The sequence below is a fragment of the Homo sapiens genome, chromosome 12, assembly GCF_000001405.40.
Source record: "Homo sapiens chromosome 12, GRCh38.p14 Primary Assembly".
NCBI classification, from domain to species: domain Eukaryota; kingdom Metazoa; phylum Chordata; class Mammalia; order Primates; family Hominidae; genus Homo; species Homo sapiens.
This window is the reverse complement of record NC_000012.12, coordinates 132,634,829-132,654,640: the sequence shown is the minus strand read 5'-3', so window position 1 is coordinate 132,654,640 and position 19,812 is coordinate 132,634,829. Positions and strand designations below refer to the sequence as shown.

Here is a 19,812-nt window from a genome sequence, read left to right as displayed (position 1 = left end):
TTTGTAATTTTTTGTAGAGACAAGGTTTTGTCATGTTGTCCTGGCTGGTCACATCTTTTTCAGGACAGAGTTTTTTATTTTAATGAAAACAGACATCATTATAGATATAGTAAAGCCTAAAAAAATGGAAGGATTCCCATTTTCTGCTAAACAGTTGGAAAACATAGATGGAACGGACAGTATCCTCAAGTTATGCACTGACCTAAGAAGTAATAAAAACCTGAATAGAACTTTAACCATTACAGAAATTGACACTTAAAAAGAAACAGGCCAGGCGCAGTGGCTCACACCTGTAATCCCAGCTCTCAGGGAGGCAGAGGCGGGAGGATAGCTTGAGCCCAGGAGTTCGAGACCTGCCTGGGCAATATAGCGAGACCCCGTTCTCCACAAAAAGAAAAAAAAAAGAGACGAAAAAAAATAAGTGTAAAAGAAACATCAAACCCAAATGATTTTTAAGAGAAAAAGGAAAAAAAAAACCCTTAGCTCATTTGGTAACCTTGGCAATCCTTGTTACTTTGGTAACATAATTGAAAACAGGAAAGGAAAGTTACGGGCCATGAACAATAGATGAAAAAATATCAACATACATGAACAATAACAATATGACCAACTAGGACTTATGCTGGGAATAGCAAGCACTGTTTAATTTTAGAATTTGCCAGGTTAGTTTTTCTTGGGAGAAATCCACTAATTCATCATTAAAGGAGAAGGCTCGTAAGATCATCTCCAATAGATGCAGAAACAACATGCGGTAAAACTTTAACATCTGCTCATGTTAAAGTTTGAACAATCAAAATCAGAATAGATGAGATGTTTCTTAACCTGATAAAGTGTTCTTGAAACCTAACAGCAGACCTCATACTTAACCACAAAACACTGGAAGCATTGAAGTAAGGAGTAAGAAATGGATGCCTGTTAACCACTGCTTCTGTTCAAAACAGTTTGGAGATCCTAGCCAGCATAATTAAACCAGAAAAAGAATTAAGGATTGAAAAGGGAGACATCAACTTATTATTTACAGGCGATGTAATTTGTTAACAGAAAATGTAAGGAAACCTAGATTTTGTGTTAACTTATATGTATTTCAGCAACAATTAGATACCAAGGTAAGATATAAAAGTCTATTGCTTTCATTTATACTAGAAACAAAATATTTTTTGAAAGATACCATTTACAATAGCAATAAATAATGTACTAAGGAATAAATTCATGGTAACAATGTGTGTAAGACTTTTACAGAAAAAATTACACAACTTTTTTCTTTTTGAGACATGGTCTTCCTTTGTCACCCAGGCTAGAGTGCGGTGGCAAGATCATGGCTCCCTACAGCCTAGAACTCTTAATCTCACGTTATCCTCCCACCTCAGCCTCCTGAGTAGCTGAGACTGCAAGTGTGCACCACCACACCTGGCTATGTATTTTTTGTAGAGGCTGGGTCTCACTGTTGCCCAGGCTGATCTTAAACTCTTGGGCTCAAGTGATCCTCCTGCCTGGGCCCCCCCCAAAGCACTGGGATTACAGGTGTGAGCCACCATGCCTGGCCTATACACAACTTTATTGAACATATAAAAATTTACCTAAGTAACAAAAAGAGGTACCATCTTTACAGATGAAAGGACTCAGTATTAAAATATGGCAGTTTGCCCCATATTAATTCATAAAATTCAGTGTAATTCCAATAAAAAAGAATCTGCCAAAAGCTTTTTGGATAGAACTTGACAGACGAATCCTAAAATTCATATAAAGGGTAAGGATAAGAATAACCAAAGAATTTTGAAGAATAAGGAGGGCACGTTGATCTTACTATGTAACGAGACACACTATCATGGCATCTTGACAAGATGAGAGGAGAGCAGTAGAGCCGATTGGGAGCCTAGAAACAGACTCCCCTGTTAGTCGGAAGTTGGTAGGTCACAGATCGTTAAGGAGAGAGTGGACTGCAGTGAGTGATGCTGGTGAAAATGGTTTTTCATATTTGGAGAAGTAAGTTGTTGTATCACACTGAGTGTGAAACTAAGGCTGAGTGTGATGGCTCATGCCTGTAATTGCAGTGCTTTGGGAGTCCAAGGAAGGAGGATCAGTTGAGCCCAGAAGTTCCAGACGAGCCTGGGCAACATAGGGAGGTCTCGTCTCTACAAAAAAAATCCGGCACAACATTAGGCATGGTTGTGCATGCCTGTAGTCCCAGCTACTTGGGAGGCTGAGGTGGGAGGATCACTTGAGCCTGGGAGGTTGAGGCTGCGGTGAGCCAAGATGACCACTGCACTCCAGCCTAGGTGACAGAGCGAGACCCCTGTGTCTTTAAAAAAAAAAAAAAAAAAAAAAAGGAAACTACAATCTTTGGTAAACAACTCAGGAGACTATGATGCTGGGGTGGGAAGGGCTTTTTTAAGGCACATGTGAAAAACATCACAAAGGGAAAGAATGATCAATTAATTAAAAGTTAAATCTTGTGTAGTCTGTGACAAGAAAGGCAGAATGTTGATAATTGTTGACACTGGTGATAAGAACATGGGAGCTCATTACTGTGCTTTCGTGTATGTTTGAAAACTTTCCTGATAGGAAGTCAACACACACAAACTTACATGTAGCACAGAAGTCACCATGAAACAAAGGCCTGAGTCACATTTTGAAGATGTTTAGAATGTATAAAAGTTAGAAATGGCTCATAAACGTGTTAGCTATCTATTGCTGCATAGCAAGTAACCCCAAAACTTAGCAACTTAAATGCACTCGTGTATCCGAGGGCTCCACTGGAGAAGGAGCCACTTCCGAGCTCCCTCCCATGGGGATGGCAGGACTCGGTTCCTCCTTGGCCTTTGTCTGGACGTTATCCTTAGTCCCCTGCTCCATGGGGCTCTTCACAGGACAGCTCACAGCATGGCACTGGACTTTTGAGAGAGTGCCAGCCAGGCAGAAGCCACAGTGTTTTATAGCTGCTCTCAGGAGTGGCATTCCATGACTTTTGCTGGAATCTGTTCATTACGGGCAAGTCACCGGGTCCCACCCCCACTCAGGGAAGGAGTCACACAGGGTGTGAACACCAGGAAGTGGGGGTCGTTGGGCCATTTTGGGAGCTGCCTGCACAGGGCCAAGATGTTCAGCCTTACTGTTGATGAGGTAAATGCAGCATGATGTATTTAGATAGCAGGTCACACTGAAGGCAAGTAAGTGTGGTGGCATCAAGTAGCAAGATTGTGGGAAGTAGGAAATCCCTGGTGCTAGAGGTGGAGGTGGTTGTTCTCCGGGACCAGGCAACACATACAGAGATGGTCATTGAGTCACAGTTTGTAGTTTTGAAAAAGTAGGCGCTTGTCATTCTTCATTTGCAAAGTCATGGGTAGGTAGGCTGATGTGTTTATATGATAAATCATTTCACATCAGTTACAATGAACGAACCATATGTGCATGTTTCACCCGGTGTCAGTCTCAAAAATACATGGCTGAATAAAGAAACAAGTTGCAGGGACAGGCATGTGGCTCACGCCTGTAATCTCAACACTTTGGAAGGCTGAGGTGGGTGGATCACTTGAGGTCAGGAGTTCGAGACCAGCCTGGCCAACATGGTGAAACCCCATCTTTACTAAAAATACAACAAAAAATTAGCCGGGCTTGGTGGCAGGTGCCTGTAATCCTAGCTTCTTGGGAGGCTGAGGCAGAATTGCTTGAACCCAGGAGGCGAGGTTGCAGTGAGATGAGATCGTGCCATTGCGCTCCAGCCTGGACAACAGAGTGAGATTCTGTCTCAAAAAAAAAAAAAAAAAAAAAGGAAACAAGTTGCAGTCAGATGTGTCCCACATGTTACTATTTAGGTTAAAACTTACAGCTGTGGCATGTGTCTGTGGACATGTGGTAAAAATTTAAAGGTGTGTGGGGGCAGACAGAAGAGGGCTGTACCCATTATTTGCAATATTTTCTTTCTTACAAAAAGCATTCTGGAGCAAACATGGCAAAATGCAAAGATTTACTTATTGGTGGTATTGAGTGACGTTTTATTTTTCGGTTTGATCTTTTCACTTTTTTTTTGAAAGAGGGTCTCACCCTCTCGCCCAGGCTGGAATGCAGTGGCGCAACCTTGGCTCACTGCAACCCCTACCTCCTAGGCTCAAGTGATCCTTCCACCTCAGCCTCCCAAGTAGCTGGGACCACAGGCCCACACAACCACACCCAGCTAATTTTTCTATTTTTTGTAGAGACGGAGTTTCACCATGTTGGCCAGGCTAGTCTCAAACTCCTGGGCTCAAGTGATCCGCCCACCTCAGCCTCTCAAAGTGCTGGGATGACAGGCGTGAGCCACCACACCCGGCCTTCACTATTAAAGGTTCAATAAACTTGTGTAAACGAACATCCCATTTCAGGTGATATACTTATACTAGATTTCGAGAAGTAGAATTTGTGGGGATGAGATCCTGAGATTTTTGTTTGCTTGTTTTTATGAGGCAAGGTCTCACTTGCCCAGGCTGGAGTTCAGTGGTGTGATCATAGTTCGCCGCAGCCTCCAACTCCTGGGTTCAAGTGATCCTCCTGCCTCAGCCTACCAAGTAGCTTGGGACTACAGGCGCACTACCACGCCTGGCTAATTTGTAATATATTTTGTAGAGACAGGGTCTTGCTGTTACCCAGGCTGGTCTCAAACTCCTGGCCCCAAGCAATTCTCCTGTCTTGGCCTCCCAAAGTGCTGGCATTCCAGGCATGAGCCACCCTGCGCAGCCCGAGATCCTGAGATTTAAGGCTTCACTGGGTCTTTCCAGGTCACGATGGCCGAGGCCTCAGAAGACAGTCCGAGGCCAAGTGCTCCTGACATGGAGGACTTCGGCCTCGTAAAGCTGCCTCACCCAGCAGCCCCTGTCACTGTGAAGAGGAAGCGAGTTCTTTGGGAGAGCCAGGAGGAGTCCCAGGACCTCACGCCGACTGTGCCCTGGCAGGAAATCTTGGGGCAGCCTCCCGCCCTGGGAACCAGCCAGGTAAGGCACACAGCTGTGATACTGTCTGTCTCTGAGGGGTCTGCACAGCCCAGGGAGCCCGAGATGCGTCCTGACCCCTAGGGAGGCTGCTTGTGAGAAAGTCATGGCGGGCATTCCCATCTCACCACTTGCACACTGGCTGTGCTCACCATCCATCCCAGGAGGAATGGCTTGTCTGGCTCCGGTTCCACAAGAAGAAGTGGCAGCTGCAGGCCCGGCAGCGCCTCGCCCGCAGGAAGAGGCAGCGTCTGGAGTCGGCAGAGGGTGTGCTCAGGCCCGGGGCCATCCGGGATGGTCCTGCCACGGGGCTGGGGAGCTTCTTGCGAAGAACTGCCCGCAGCATCCTGGACCTTCCGTGGCAGATTGTGCAGGTATAGACCTTGATCCAAGGGGAGGGCAGTGGCTCTGCTGATGGCCCAGGGAGGGGGTGTCCAGCTGGGCCCTGAGGTCTGGGATGGGAGGGTTAGAGTGGGCCTGGAGTTTCCTGCCCATCGTAGGGAGGCCTAAGGCCCTGTGCTGGGAGCTGCAAGCTACCTGGAAGGTGGCCCCGTCTGTGGGTTCCAGTGTGTCCTGTGATGTGCTGTATGTCCGTGTGGCCTTTCAGATCAGCGAGACCAGCCAGGCCGGCCTGTTCAGGCTGTGGGCGCTCGTTGGCAGTGACTTGCACTGCATCAGGCTGAGCATCCCCCGTGTGTTCTACGTGAACCAGCGAGTCGCTAAAGCGGAGGAGGGTGCTTCGTATCGCAAGGTAGGGAGGAGCTGGTGCTGCCTCTGCAGTCATCTGGGCAGCCTGAGGTGGCTTTCCCATGATCTAGCCTGGCCTCCAGCCTCCATCTCCTCAGTACCTTATGGGGATGTTCTAGGAATTCCTCAAAACAACGTGTGTGAGCGCTGAGCACCGAGCCTGGGGCAGAGCGAGTGCCGGGAATGGAGCTGCTGGTGTCCTTGTCACGATGAGCTTGTCTGCCCGCGAGGTCCATGTTGCGGGGACAAACCAAGTGGCATTGGTTAGAGATTGTGAACTCTGTCTCCGTAGGCTCTTTGGTTGTTAACAGCTTTATTGGGATGTAAAGTTACGCCATCCAACTCACCCATTTAAAGTGCAGAATTCAATGACTTTTAGTGGCATGACTATTGCCAGTCAATAGTGACATTTTCTTTTTTTTTCTTTTTTTTAATTTTACTTTGATTTCTGGGATCCATGTGCAGAAAGTGCAGGTTTGTTACATAAGTAAGCACATGCCATGGTGGTTTGCTGCACCCATCACCCCGTCACCTGGGCATTAGGCCCCACATGCATTAGCTGTTTATCCTGATATTCCCCCTCCCCTCACCCCCCCATTCGGATATTTTCATCACTCCAAAAAGAAACCTGGCATCCCTTACCTGTCACCATCCTCCCCCAGCCCTCAGTAGCCACTGATCCACTTCCTGTCTCTGGGTTTGCCTGTTTGGGCATTTGATGTAAATGGAACCCTACAGTAGGTGGGTCTTTGTGCTGGGCTTCTTCCACCTGCAGAAACTGCGAGGGTTTTCATGTGGCCATGAGTGCGCTGAGGCTCTTAGATGGCATCTCCACCCGAACTCCCCGTTGTTAATGTGTCGGCTCAGCACATTTCTTGACTGGATGCTGTGAATCACGTAAGAAGTGACACGTAGTTGGGGAGATGAGGTGTGCATATTTGTACCTACACAAGGAGGTTTTCTGGAGAAGGTGAAACTCGATTCCAGCCAGGTGATTCAGTAGAATGTGCATATAGAAAGTAGACGCAGAGCCAGGTGTGGTGGTTCACACCTGTAATCCCCGCACTTTGGGAGACCGAGGTGGGCGGATAACAAGAGGAAAGCGGACGCAGAGGCATCGAGACCACAGAGAACAGGTGGGACTGTGGGGTTTCTACACCTTCCTTTCGATGCGTGGTGCTGTGGTGCTGTGGCCGTGTGGAAGTGCCCTAACTTTTGGGATGTTTCCCTTTATGACTATCAGCTCATCTCGAGGGAGGTTCTGGCGCTGTGTGAATATTCTGTCCTCAACGTTTGACTGGATGGTGTCAGCATCCATGTCTCGTGGGGTCCATGGGGCTCCAGGATGATATCTTCAGATTCTGTTCCTCTGTGTGTATTAGCTGTTTCCTTTATAACGAAGAGCTTTGTGCAGATCAGGTAGAAATGAACTCTATTCCTTAAAAAGCAAGATACGAGAGGGATAATACGCTTTTTTTTTTTTTAAGCAAGATAAATGCTTTTTCCCTTTAAATTATTTTTAATTTTCAAGGTAGGGCATGGCAAAATGGGTTTATTCCTTTCATTTTTCCTCTCTTTTTAAAGTATTACTATGGATTAGAGGATTTTTGTTTAACTTTTTTGTTTCTGTTTTTGAGAAGGTCTCTCACTCCATCACCCAGGCTGGAGTGCAGTGGCATGATCTTGCCTCACTGCAGCCTTGTACTCTTGGGCTCAAGCAATCCTCCTGCCTCAGTGTTTAATGTTTTAACATCAACCGTAGCCAAATCCCGCCCAACACACACACGTTAGGTATGTTAAGGTACACGGTAGGCCCTCACTTTATGTTGTTGATAGGTCCTTAGAAACTGCAATTTTAAGTGAAATGACTAAGTAAGATGATGTATAATGAAACAGATTTTTTTTCTTCTCAGAAACTATAATGAAACTGTGTTGGCCAGGCGCAGTGCTGCATATCTGTAATCCCAGCAATTTGGGAGGCTGAGGCTGGTGGATTGCTTGAGCTCAGGCATTCGAGACCAGCCTGGGCAACGTGGCAAAACCCCTTCTCTACAGAGTATTTTTTAAATTTATTTATTTTTATTTGTTTGTTTGTTTGTTTTGAGATGGAGTTTCTCTCCTGTTGCCCGGCTGGAGTCCAGTGGCGCATCTCGGCTCACCGCAACCTCCGCCTCCCGGGTTCAAGAAATTCTCCTGCCTCAGCCTCCCAAGTAGCTGGGATTACAGGCACGCACCACCACGCCCGGCTAATTTTGTATTTTTTAGTAGAGATGGGGTTTCTCTGTGTTGGTTAGGCTGGTCTCGAACTCCTGACCTCAGGTAATCCATCCACCTCGGCCTCCCAAAGTGCTGGGATTACAGGTTGAACCATGGCGCCCGGCCCCAGAATTTTTTTTTTTTTTTTTTTAAAGGAAGAAAGAATGTTGAACAAAATGATGTTATTTGAGGACCTGCTATACATTACTTCACTTAACCATCACAGTTTCCAGGAATCCATTGATGTTAAGTGAGGACTTACTGTAATTTACATATAGTTAAGTGCAGATTTTTAAATGTGCAGTTGATTGGGTTTTTGGACACATGACTATGCCTGTGTCACCCACACCCCCACCCAGGTGCAGAACGTTTCCATCACCCGGGAGGGTGCTCTTGTCCCCCTGTGCAACCTTCTGCTGGCCTGATTTCTGTATTTCTGTAACTGTGTGCATGTGACTTTCTAGAACTTCATATTAATGGAACCAGACAGTAGACTCTTTGGTGGTCAATATCTTCTTGAGACTCAAATTATCCCAAATTGGGCTGGCCAGATCCCTTCAAGCTGGCACCTGAGTCCTTTTGACATGCCCTGTTGGTCTTTGAAAACTTCCTTGCTTTTTGGCCACTAAGAGAGGCCAGGCTCACCTTGAACTTCCAGACGTGGAATTAGCTGTTCCTCTAAAGAGCCTGAGCCTCGTTGAGAGGTTATGTTGAGAAACCAAGCTTAGAGCTCAAGGGGTATCATTTCATCTAGATTCCTTCAGTGAACAGCCAGGAAATATATACATTTTAAAAAGTGCAATTACACTAATTGTTCCAGTTCATATTTACCAGAACATAATTTTTCATTTCTTTGATTTTGTGTGTGTGTGTGTGGGTGTGTGTGTGTGTCGGTCTAATTTCATGTTACTGGAAAAATCTAACCCTACTGGTTCTCTTCTCGCTTGAGAATTATTCAGATTTTCCTGGTTGTTGTTACGCCAAATAACGCTTTATTGCAACCTGGACATTTTACATATTTGAGACTTTGGGTATTTTTAAAAATCCTTTAGCGTGTCAGGTTTTTTTGTTTGTTTGTTTTAGCAACAACCAACACGGTTAATTCCAGTGCCCAAGCTCTTCCTTGCCTCTTTGTGCAAAGCTTCCAATGTCAGCTCAGCCTCCAGAGCCTCTGCTGCGTTGTTTTGGGTCACCTGTGCAAGTGCAGCTCGTAGTGAGCCTGGGACTTGTGCTGCTGGTTCATGCATGAAGCTAGGGTGCTCCTCTCCAGGATTCCCCCAGCCCCCCACACACGAAGCTAGGGTGCCCCCTCTCCAGCTCTCCTCTCCAGGATTCCCCCAGCCCTCCACACAGGGAGCTAGGGTACCCCTCTCCAGCTCGCCTCTCCAGAATTCCCCCAGCCCTCCACACAGGGAGCTAGGGTGCCCCCTCTTCAGCTCTCCCAGACCCCCCAGGACCCCACACAGGAAGCTAGGGTGCACCCTCTCCAGCTCTCCCAGACCCCCCAGGACCCCACACAGGAAGCTAGGGTGCCCCCTCTCCAGCTCTCCCAGACCCCCCCAGGACCCCACACAGGGAGCTAGGGTGCCCCTCTCCAGCTCTCCCAGACCCCCCCAGGACCCCACACAGGAAGCTAGGGTGCCCCCTCTCCAGCTTTCCCAGGCCCCCCCAGGACCCCATTCACGAAGCTAGGGTGCCCCTCTCCAGCTCTCCCAGACCCCCCCAGGACCCCACACAGGAAGCTAGGGTGCCCCTCTCCAGCTCTCCCAGACCCCCCCAGGACCCCACACAGGGAGCTAGGGTGCCCCCTCTCCAGCTCTCCCAGACCCCCCCAGGACCCCACACAGGGAGCTAGGGTGCCCCTCTCCAGCTCTCCCAGACCCCCCCAGGACCCCACACAGGGAGCTAGGGTGCCCCCTCTCCAGCTCTCCCAGACCCCTCCAGGACCCCATTCACGAAGCTAGGGTGCCCCTCTCCAGCTCTCCCAGAGCCCCCCAGGACCCCACACACACACTCTGGCTCCCCCAGGGGCTCTCTTTCCGTTTCTCTGACTAGGAAAATGTGATTTCTCTCAGTTTTTGCCATCTACACCCTCAGGTTAAACCCATGAGAGAATGGAGGAAGATGAACTGGGAACCTCCCCAGATCAGTGTTGACTGCTGTATTCTGACAGCTCTTGTCTATTCTCAGAGGCTGCAGGTTGCTTTTCAAAATTGCGTCCAGAGGCCAGGCATAGTGGCTCACACCTGCAGTTCCAGCGATTTGGGAGGATCACTTGAGTCCAGGAGTTTGAGACCAGCCTGGGCCTCATAGTGAGACCTCCTTTCTACAAAAAAAAAAAAAAAAAAAAAAAGCCATCCGTGGTGGTGTGTTCCTTGTCCCAGCTACTCAGGAGGCTGAGGCTGGAGGACCACTTGAGCCCAGGAGTTGGAGGCTGCAGTGAGCTGTGATCACACTGCTGCACTCCAGCCTGGGCAACAGACTAAGACCCTGTCTGTAAAAAATAAATAAATAACATAAAAATTACATCCAGAGTTTTTAGTTGTAATCATTGAGAGAGGTGGACTGTGGCGTGGTGGGTGTACCCCGTCGCTAGGGGCACCAGAAGTCTAGGACTCCGAATAGCGTGTGCTTTGTGTGTGTACCACAGACATTACCACTTACGCCCAGTGACGAGATCATCGTCGTATTCTCGCCAGGTAAATCGGGTCCTTCCTCGCTCCAACATGGTCTACAATCTCTATGAGTATTCAGTGCCAGAGGACATGTACCAGGAACACATCAACGAGATCAACGCTGAGCTGTCAGCGCCAGACATCGAGGGCGTATATGAGACTCAGGTGACTCCCCAGCCACCCTCGACTGAACTGGGGGAGGCTCCAGCAGGGTGGTATGGAGGAAAGAAACCCGCCCAGGGTGTGGGCTGGGGAACAGCAGCGACAGTGGACTCGTTCCCACAGGTGAGGTGAATGTCAGCAGTGTGTCTGCCAAAAGTGGCCTTTGGGCAGTGGGCCGGGCAGCTGCAGGGGCACAGCCACATCCCGGGCAGAAGTCACGTGGGCAGCCAGAGCCCCCACCATCCAGCCCTTGCCGGCCTGTCTGCCCGATTCTTCCAGGTTCCGTTACTGTTCCGGGCCCTGGTGCACCTGGGCTGTGTGTGTGTGGTCAATAAACAGCTGGTGAGGCACCTTTCAGGCTGGGAAGCAGAGACCTTTGCTCTTGAGCACCTGGAGATGCGCTCTCTGGCCCAGTTCAGCTACCTGGAACCAGGTATGGCCTGCACCAGCCGCCCATCATGTGCCTGCCTCCCACACATCTGGGGTGACGGTCTTGTTTCCTTCTCCAGGGAGTATCCGCCATATCTACCTGTACCACCACGCACAGGCCCACAAAGCGCTCTTCGGGATCTTCATCCCCTCACAGCGCAGGGCATCCGTCTTTGTGCTGGACACTGTGAGTCCTGGGCCCTCCATGGCAGCACATTGGCTGGGGCAGGGTTTGGGGAAGGAGGACATCTCCCAGGGTGCCCAGGCCCTCCAGGTCTTGTCCTCAAGGGCCTTTGCCCATGAGTGCTTGTCGTGATTGAATTGGCAGTGCCGTGGCAGTGGTGGAGTCTGCCCCAGGGCTGCCCCCACTTCCTCCTGCGCAGGGGGAGGCTGACGTGGCCTGCGTTGGTCTAGGTGCGCAGCAACCAGATGCCCAGCCTTGGCGCCCTGTACTCAGCAGAGCACGGCCTCCTCCTGGAGAAGGTGGGCCCTGAGCTCCTGCCACCCCCCAAACACACCTTCGAAGTTCGGGCAGAAACTGACCTGAAGACCATCTGCAGAGCCATCCAGCGATTCCTGCTCGCCTACAAGGTGAGAGTGGTTGGGGTCTTGCTGTGTGAGCCCCATCTTCTTTGAGGCTGGGTCCACCCAGGTCTTTTCTTCCATTTTGCCTTGACCCAGGAGGAGCGCCGGGGGCCCACACTCATCGCTGTTCAGTCCAGCTGGGAGCTGAAGAGGCTGGCCAGTGAAATTCCTGTCTTGGAGGAATTCCCACTGGTGCCTATCTGTGTGGCTGACAAGATCAACTATGGGGTCCTGGACTGGCAGCGCCATGGAGCCCGGCGCATGATCCGTCACTACCTCAACCTGGACACCTGCCTGTCGCAGGCCTTCGAGATGAGCAGGTGAGCACAGTACTGTCGTTGTGGGCCAGTGGTCCCCAGGCAGAGCCGGCCTCGGTGGTCTCTGTGACCCGGCGATGTGCCCCGGTGCTGACCTGTGCCCTGGTGCAGGTACTTTCACATTCCCATTGGGAACCTACCAGAGGACATCTCCACATTCGGCTCCGACCTCTTCTTTGCCCGCCACCTCCAGCGCCACAACCACCTGCTCTGGCTGTCCCCTACAGCCCGCCCTGACCTGGGTGGAAAGGAGGCTGATGACAACTGTCTTGTCATGGAGTTCGATGACCAAGCCACTGTTGAGATCAACAGTTCAGGCTGTTACTCCACAGGTAAGTGGGCGGGAGGACGAGGCCCATGAGACCTGGCTGGTGTTTCTGCCATTCTGTGACATCTTCTCAAGGCAATAGTGCCGAGGATGGGCTCAGAGTTCGACCGCGCAGGTCAGAGCTGAGGCTGCAGGAGACGGTCCTGGGGTCAAGGTCCAGGTGGGGCCTCCTGTGCCCTCGGGAATCTGAATAGCCTGGCAGGTGTGAGGATGGGTGTGGGCAGGTCTGTTGCTGGTTCTGGAGGTGGTGGTGGCTGGAGTCAGGCCCAGGGGGCTGGTGGTGCTGGAGCTGGCAGGATGCTGGCTGAGCATGGCGTCTTCCTGTGCAGTGTGTGTGGAGCTGGACCTTCAGAACCTGGCCGTCAACACCATTCTCCAGTCTCACCATGTCAACGACATGGAGGGGGCCGACAGCATGGGGATCAGCTTCGACGTGATCCAGCAGGCCTCCCTGGAGGACATGATCACGGGTGGTCAGGCTGCCAGTGCCCCGGCCAGCTACGATGAGACAGCCCTGTGCTCTAACACCTTCAGGTGCCACCCTCTCTGGGAAGGAGTGTTACTAATAGAAGGGTCTTATCCTTTGCCCTTAATTTGGAAAGCTAAGGTCTAAGACAGGGTCCATTGGGCTTCCCTTAGTCTTAATGGCAGAGCCAGAGACCACTGTGTGGCGAGTTTTCCATAGTCTATTGTCTTTACCACTGTGGGGGTCCGGCCTGGTCCCTGGCGACTGTTCAGTGTGCTGCCTCTGACCTCCCTGTGGCCAGAGGTACTTCACACAGAGTCTTTCTAACCAGGGCCACTTTTCGATGTGACCAAAGGTACATCACAGGGATCTCCAGCCAGCTCTACTGAGTATGATGTGTGAGGCATCAGCACTTAGGTGTCAGGAGCCGTCGGTCTGCTGCAGAGGGCGTGGTTGAGGGTCAGGAGCCATCAGTCTGCGGAGAGCATGGTTGAGGGCAGCTACTCGCATTACCCACCAGCGGTGGTTCATGCTGGGCAATGCTTGCTGTGTACCAGGAGGTGGGCCGAGCACTTCGCATTCTGCCTCTGTCCCCACATCAGCCCAGGGACGGGGAGCGGTTATTGTCTGTTTTTCAGATAAGGAAACTGAGGTCAGAGGGGCTGCCTTTGTGGTCATACCACAAATGAATGGAAGGGTAGGTGCTCAAAAACAAGTCTTTGTAATTCCAGAGCCTGTACTCAGCTGTAGTTTTAATGACTCCATACAAAAGGGGAGAGGGAGCATGCCAGAGCTGGGAAATGAGGCAGGGAGAGGACTGGTGGAAAGAGGCAGGGAGGCAGTTGGGAGCCGGGAGCAGGGTCTTGGCAGAGAGACAGTAGCCCAGGCCTGAAAGGTAGAAGGAGTCCAACAGCAGATACCCAAACTGCCGCTCTGGAGAATGTGGGGTTTGCCAAATTATTGAAGAGTTTGTGATGAAAGGGAGTTTTAGGAATGGGACTTGGACCTCTGTAGGTTCTCTTGTAACATTCTGTTCTTGACCCCATTGAAGTTCCCGCTTCTTCAGTAGGGTGATGTGCAGTTTTGGAATCCTTTAGCTGAATTGGGGTTCCAGTACCAGAGCAGCTGGCATCTCTGCCCCATGGGAAGTGAAGGGGGCCAGACAGGGCGTGTACAGTGCACTGGCCAATGCCTAGCTGTCTGGCCTGTGACCAGGGCCCCCCGGAACGGGAAACTTGTTTACACTGGCACACGCCCTTGTGGCTTTTGTGTGACCTGTGTCTAGGTACCACCTGCCTGACCATTGCTTCGGTGTAGGGGCCCAGCCTTGTGTTCCCCCTAGTGTCGTAGGGAAGACCCAGCCCAGGGCAGCCCCTGCCTCTTCAGAGGGAAGGCACAAAATCAGTCACCACCACAATAGGGAACAAGTGCAAAGATGTGTTCCTTACAGCTCCTGGGCAGGGAGGGTGCCGTGAGTAGGGAGGCCATCCTCCATCCCTGGGTCCTGCAAGGCAGGACTGAAGAGTCAGACAGGGAGGGTGCCCAGGGCAGCTAGGCGTGTGAGGGAATGGGGTGTAGGCATGTGTTAGTTCACGGGCGAGCGCCTGAATGGTCCATTTAAAGGAAGTGGCGGGAAGGCAGGGCCCAGCCTGCTAGGCGGGAGAGAGGCCTCTAAGTTCTTGTTTCTGACCAGCTGGGGCCATGTGGGTATGGTGATGTTTTGTTTTGTTTTGTTTTGTTTTGTTTTGTTTTGTTTTGTTTTTGTTTTTTGAGACAGTCTCACTCTGTCACCCAGGCTGGAATGCAGTGGCACCATCTTGGGTCACTGCAACCTCCACCTCCCGGGTTCAAGCGATTCTCCTGCCTTAGCCTCCCGAGTAGCAGGATTACAGGCATGCACTAGCCCAGCTAATTTTTGTATTTTTAATAGAGACGGGGTTTCACCATGTTGGCCAGGTTGGTCTCAAACTCTTGACCTCAGGTGATCCACCTGCCTCGGCCTCCCAAAGTGGTGGGATTACAGGCGTGAGCCTCTGCATCCGGCCTAGTGTGGTGTTCTGATGTCTAGGCAGTGGCTTTGCTGTGTCCTTCCTGTCAGGGTCCCCGGCCCGTCACACACTTGCTGCTTTGTACTGTGCTGCCCTCCCGTCCTGCTTTAGAACACACAGAGTTTGGGATGCGGTGAAGCCTGAACAAGTTTAAGGAATGAAATGGGAAGAAACAGATGAGGCATGAGGGTGAAGGGATGAAATTTGGACCGTGACTTAAGGTGGGGACAGTGAGAAGGGGAGGCGACAGTGACGGATTTGGACCCAGCCGTGTAGGGAAAACCTGTGCCCATTTCAGTTGGAGCGTCCCGCGTGGCAGCAGCGTGGGAGGCTGAGGGTACGAGGGTGTCGTGCACCTTCTCTTTCAGGATCCTGAAGAGCATGGTCGTGGGCTGGGTGAAGGAGATCACCCAGTACCACAACATCTATGCAGACAACCAGGTGATGCACTTCTACCGCTGGCTTCGGTCGCCATCCTCTCTGCTTCATGACCCTGCCCTGCACCGCACACTCCACAACATGATGAAGAAGCTCTTCCTGCAGTGAGTGCTCCTCCTCCCTGGGCTGTCCACCGCGTCCTCAGCTGGGCTGGTCCCTTACTCCCCAGAACCAGAGACATGGCCAGCCAGTGCCTCTGGGATAAGTAGTGTATTTCTGAGTTTGTGGAGCATAACAATCCAAAGGATCCCAGAGAAACACGCAGCTGCTGCTGCAGCGTCGCCTGCACATCCTGCAGAGAACACTAGGTGGCACCTCCTCTCCTGCCCCTTTCCTGCACAAAGTCATGCTACACATTGTATTGCTGTGTGCCTTGTTGTTTTAGTGAAAATATGCCTGTGTCAGGAGATCTGTGTGAGGACATGCCATATGAAAGAACATTTAGCCTCTCTCCAGCCTTGTGCCGTTGTTACAAATAGCAAATCAGTGAGAGGCTTCATGCATGAGCTCATGCAGATAGATCCGTGGGGTAATTGCTGGGGCGTAGCCCTCTTGCAGGCCTCAGAGGTGTTGTAACTCGGGATGAATCCTGATTTGATGGACTTCACCAGAGCGGCCCCACAGAGGCCCCTTGTGGACACTTCTTCCCTGGCCGCGCCTCACCAACATGGCCGGGGATTATTACCCAACTGCTGGGATAAAAGTGCTTCTTGGTGCAGTCTTAACTTAGGATTCTTACAATGAATGAAGTCGAATTTTCTCTTCTAGTCCTTTGTCTATTTTTCTGTAGTTTTGGTGGTTCTTCTCTTATTAAATATCGAATGAGTTGTCTCCATACAAAAAGTTGCCATTTTTCTGTGATAAGAATTTGCTAATTTTTTCCTGTTTTTGGTTATCTTTTGCCTTTGTTTGTGGTGGATTTTTGCCATGCAGAAATCTTTGCTCTTCATTAGCTTCTGGGTTCTAGTGTATCTCGGAGGCTTTTCTGCTTCAGGACCCTCAGCTCTTTTCCCTCTTGGATTTTCTGGGTGCCCTCTGGCTCTCCATGACTGTGGCGTCTCCACCACGGACTCTCAACTTGCTCCACAGGCTCATCGCTGAGTTCAAGCGCCTGGGGTCATCAGTCATCTACGCCAACTTCAACCGCATCATCCTCTGTACAAAGAAGCGCCGTGTGGAAGATGCCATCGCTTACGTGGAGTACATCACCAGCAGGTGCGGCTGGCTGGTCCTGGTGACGCAGCACTGTGGCTTTGAGAGGGATGCTAAAATGACCCCCTGAGGTGCCAGCTCTCCTCCTGGGTGGGCTGGGAGGTCGTTAGAAGTGCAGGACTCACCATGGTGAATCTGAGCAGCGTGAAAAGGGGGTTACCGCCACCTGTGCGCGGTAGCAGATCGGAGGCCACTCAGCTGTGCAGCTTGAGTTGGGCAAGTTCAGGAAGTGGCCTGCCTTTGCTAAGAAGGTTCCACAGTGATTTTTGTTTGTTTGCTTTTTTTCCCCATGGATATTCAGGGCACAGATTCAAGGTGCCCTGAATATATGCACCCCGTAAGTGTTGACGTTGTAAGCCTTTTCATAGACGTCAGTGTTGGCGAGTGGAGTGGTGTGGTTCCCGGGTGCTCAGGTGTGCACAGCTCTCAGCTGTCAGAGCCTGGTGTGGTTTTGACTTCCTGCCTTCCAGGCCATGTTCCTGAGGTTCCCTCCTAGGCCTTGCTGTGCTTCTCACACACTCAGCACTATTTAAATCTAAATAGAAGACAAAGCAACAGAAAAATCTCCACCAGCAACTTTTGTTCAACTGATAGTAGGAAGCTCCCTCCTAGGTGCGCTCACCCTGGGGATGAATGCAGCCCTTTCTGAGCACAGAGGGGAGTTGCTTGTGGAGGCACAGAGAGTCTGCATGGGTCTGATCTTTGCATGGTTACAGGGGTAGCATCTGGGGGCGCTGCAGAAAAGGCTGACACTAAATTGATAATAGGCCTTATCACTGAGAAGTAGGAAGGTAGAGCTTATAAGACTTTCATTCCTAATCAAACCATATGCACTGGATTAATTTGAAACACAAAAGCACTGTTGTCCTCCTGCAGACCCACTGTGGCCCCTTATGTCTATCCAAGATGAGCCTTGATGGTCAGTGGTCACGCTGTGTGCCTGGGAAAGCTGGCTTGGGCTAGAATTGTATTTCGGAGCATGGCTGAGATAATGGGAAGGATGTGCCTCTCCCCACGTTGGCCATGGGCAGCTCCAGGGGTGCCCTGTACCTGAGGAGGCCGGGGTTGCTCATGTCGAGAAACAGGCTGCTATTCTTCCTTAGCGCGAAGAGCAGAGTTAGGGAGAACATAAAGTTCTCCTGCAGGAGCTGCGATGTGGGCTACTCAGCTGCATTTTGAAACTGTGATTTAGGATGTTCCTCCTTCCTTCCTCTCTTTCTTTGTTTATTCTTCCATTTTTTGGGGTTTTGTTTGTTTTTTAGGAGATGGGGTCTTGCTCTGTCACCCAGGCTGGAGTGCAGTGGTGCAGTCATGGCTCACTGCGGCCTCAAACTCTGGGCTCAAGCTATCTGCCCACCTCAGCCCACTGAGTAGATGGGACTAGAGGTGCATGCCAGCATGCCCAGCCAATTTTTGTATTTTTTGTAGAGACAGGGTTTTGCCACGTTGCCTGGGGTGGTCTTGAACTCCTGAACTCAGGCGATCCTCCTGCCTCAGCCTCCCAAAGTGCTAGGATTACAGGCGTGAGCCACCGTGCCTGGCCTGTTCTTTTTTTTTTTTTTTTTTTTTTTTTTTCCTTAAATGGATCTAATGTGCAGAGGATTGGGTCAGCGCTAGGGAGGCTTAACCGAGGAGTGACAAGGATGACGATAGCTTAAAAGAGCTTGGCAGTGGGAAGCACTGTGGTTGGTTACCAGCAGGTGCAGGTCACCTAAGGCCGCAGAGCAGAGGCAGAACACCCTGTGGGCCATCCCCAGCACGAGGAGGCACCCAGCTCTCTTTGTGGCGCCAGCTCCCAGGGGCCTGGTGGGCCTCCTTAGTTTTACGTTTACCACATTTCCCCAGGAAGCCTGAGGGATGATGTGGTCTGAATGAACTTTCAAATTCAGTGTTAAGTAAGTGGAGGGTACAGATAGATACAAGGGGAAATAAAGGAAAGTTGAGAACAAGGTCGATTTCACTGAAGCAGCGTCTTCAATGCTTCCTCTGCAGCATCCATTCAAAGGAGACCTTCCATTCTCTGACAATTTCTTTCTCTCGATGCTGGGAATTTCTTCTCTGGATGGATCCATCTAACTATGGCGGAATCAAAGGAAAAGTTTCATCTCGTATTCACTGTGGACTGGTAAGCGAGCTGCAGTGTGGCACCCGAGCCAGCTTTGGGGGTCGCGTTCATTCCTGCAGCAAGTGCTGAGTGCTCAGGGCCCCGGCGGGCCTGGCCGTGAGCAGCAGACACTGCACCCGCATCCTGCCCTCATGAACACGGGGAGGGACCATGCGCAGACAAGCACGTCAGTGTGGAGTGTGGCGTCAGCCCTGGTGATGGCAAGGCTTGCCGTGGGCAACAGGGAGGTGGAGGCCCATGAGGTGGTGACAGGGAATCCGAGAGCTGATGAAGTGCACCATAGTTGTGCGAGCATAAGGCGCCTCCAGCGGATGGACACCAGGGAGGCAAAGCACAAGTCAGTGGAGCAGTGGTTGCAGATGCAGGCAGAGAGCTGACAGAGCCAGGCAACTTGGGCATGGCAGGGCAGGGCCTCGGCTTTCGTGGGGATGGGAGCTTCTGTGTGGGTGATGTTGGAGCTTTCTTGGCCCCATGTGGATAACCCACCATTGGAGGGCACAGGCAGGTAAAGCCGGTTAGTGCCTGTGTCAGGGAGATGCTGGGCAGCGAGGTTGGTGAGAAGGGCCTGGGTGGGCTTTGAAGTGGAGCCAAGGGGCCAGCGGATCGGATGTGTGTAAATGCCCAGGTGCGGGCCAGGCTGTGGGTGAGTGGAGGTGGCTGTCGGGAGCAGTCTGGGGAAGGGGTCACGTCTGGCTGGGGCTCATGGTGTTTGCAAGGTTGAGACGTGGGTGGTCAGCTGGTGCAGGAGTGGCCAGAGAGTGGCTGGGTGGGTTGAGAGGAGGCCTGTGTCCTCCACAGGGGCCCTCATAGTGGACTGAGAGGAAGCTGTGGGTACCAGAGCCAGGGGCTCAGATGTCAGAGGGAAAGCCCTTTGTAAGGACGCAGACGCTTCTGGGAGCTGGCAGGATGAAGCCAAGACTGCCCAGGACACCTGGATGGGAGCGATTCTGGTTGGAGTTGGGGGATAAACCCTGATTGAAGGGATTCAGAACAAAGTGGGAGGGTAGAAACTCAGGCAGTGTAGACCGCTCTGAGGAGGGGATCAGCGTGTGGTCAGGGCAGG

The 19,812-nt window shown here is 51.2% G+C and overlaps 1 protein-coding gene across 7 annotated transcripts in view; it reads left to right on the top strand.

Moving 5' to 3' along the window:
• Positions 1 to 19,812, top strand: part of POLE (DNA polymerase epsilon, catalytic subunit) — a 63,581-nt gene that overhangs the window by 32,702 nt on the left and 11,067 nt on the right. For 4 of the 7 annotated variants that reach the window (NM_006231.4, XM_011534802.4, XM_011534795.4 and 1 more), the window contains 13 exons: positions 4,752 to 4,964; positions 5,126 to 5,335; positions 5,569 to 5,712; positions 10,664 to 10,804; positions 11,081 to 11,234; positions 11,311 to 11,417; positions 11,645 to 11,821; positions 11,912 to 12,135; positions 12,244 to 12,464; positions 12,790 to 12,994; positions 15,343 to 15,516; positions 16,502 to 16,627; positions 18,617 to 18,749. In NM_006231.4, the coding sequence (NP_006222.2) occupies positions 4,752 to 4,964; positions 5,126 to 5,335; positions 5,569 to 5,712; positions 10,664 to 10,804; positions 11,081 to 11,234; positions 11,311 to 11,417; positions 11,645 to 11,821; positions 11,912 to 12,135; positions 12,244 to 12,464; positions 12,790 to 12,994; positions 15,343 to 15,516; positions 16,502 to 16,627; positions 18,617 to 18,749 (2,229 nt within the window). Of the gene's footprint in view, positions 1 to 4,751; positions 4,965 to 5,125; positions 5,336 to 5,568; positions 5,713 to 10,614; positions 10,805 to 11,080; positions 11,235 to 11,310; positions 11,418 to 11,644; positions 11,822 to 11,911; positions 12,136 to 12,243; positions 12,465 to 12,789; positions 12,995 to 13,257; positions 13,618 to 15,342; positions 15,517 to 16,501; positions 16,628 to 18,616; positions 18,750 to 19,812 lie in introns of those variants that run through there. The other 3 variants (XM_047429018.1, XM_011534799.3, XR_941395.3) reach the window with 3 other exon arrangements.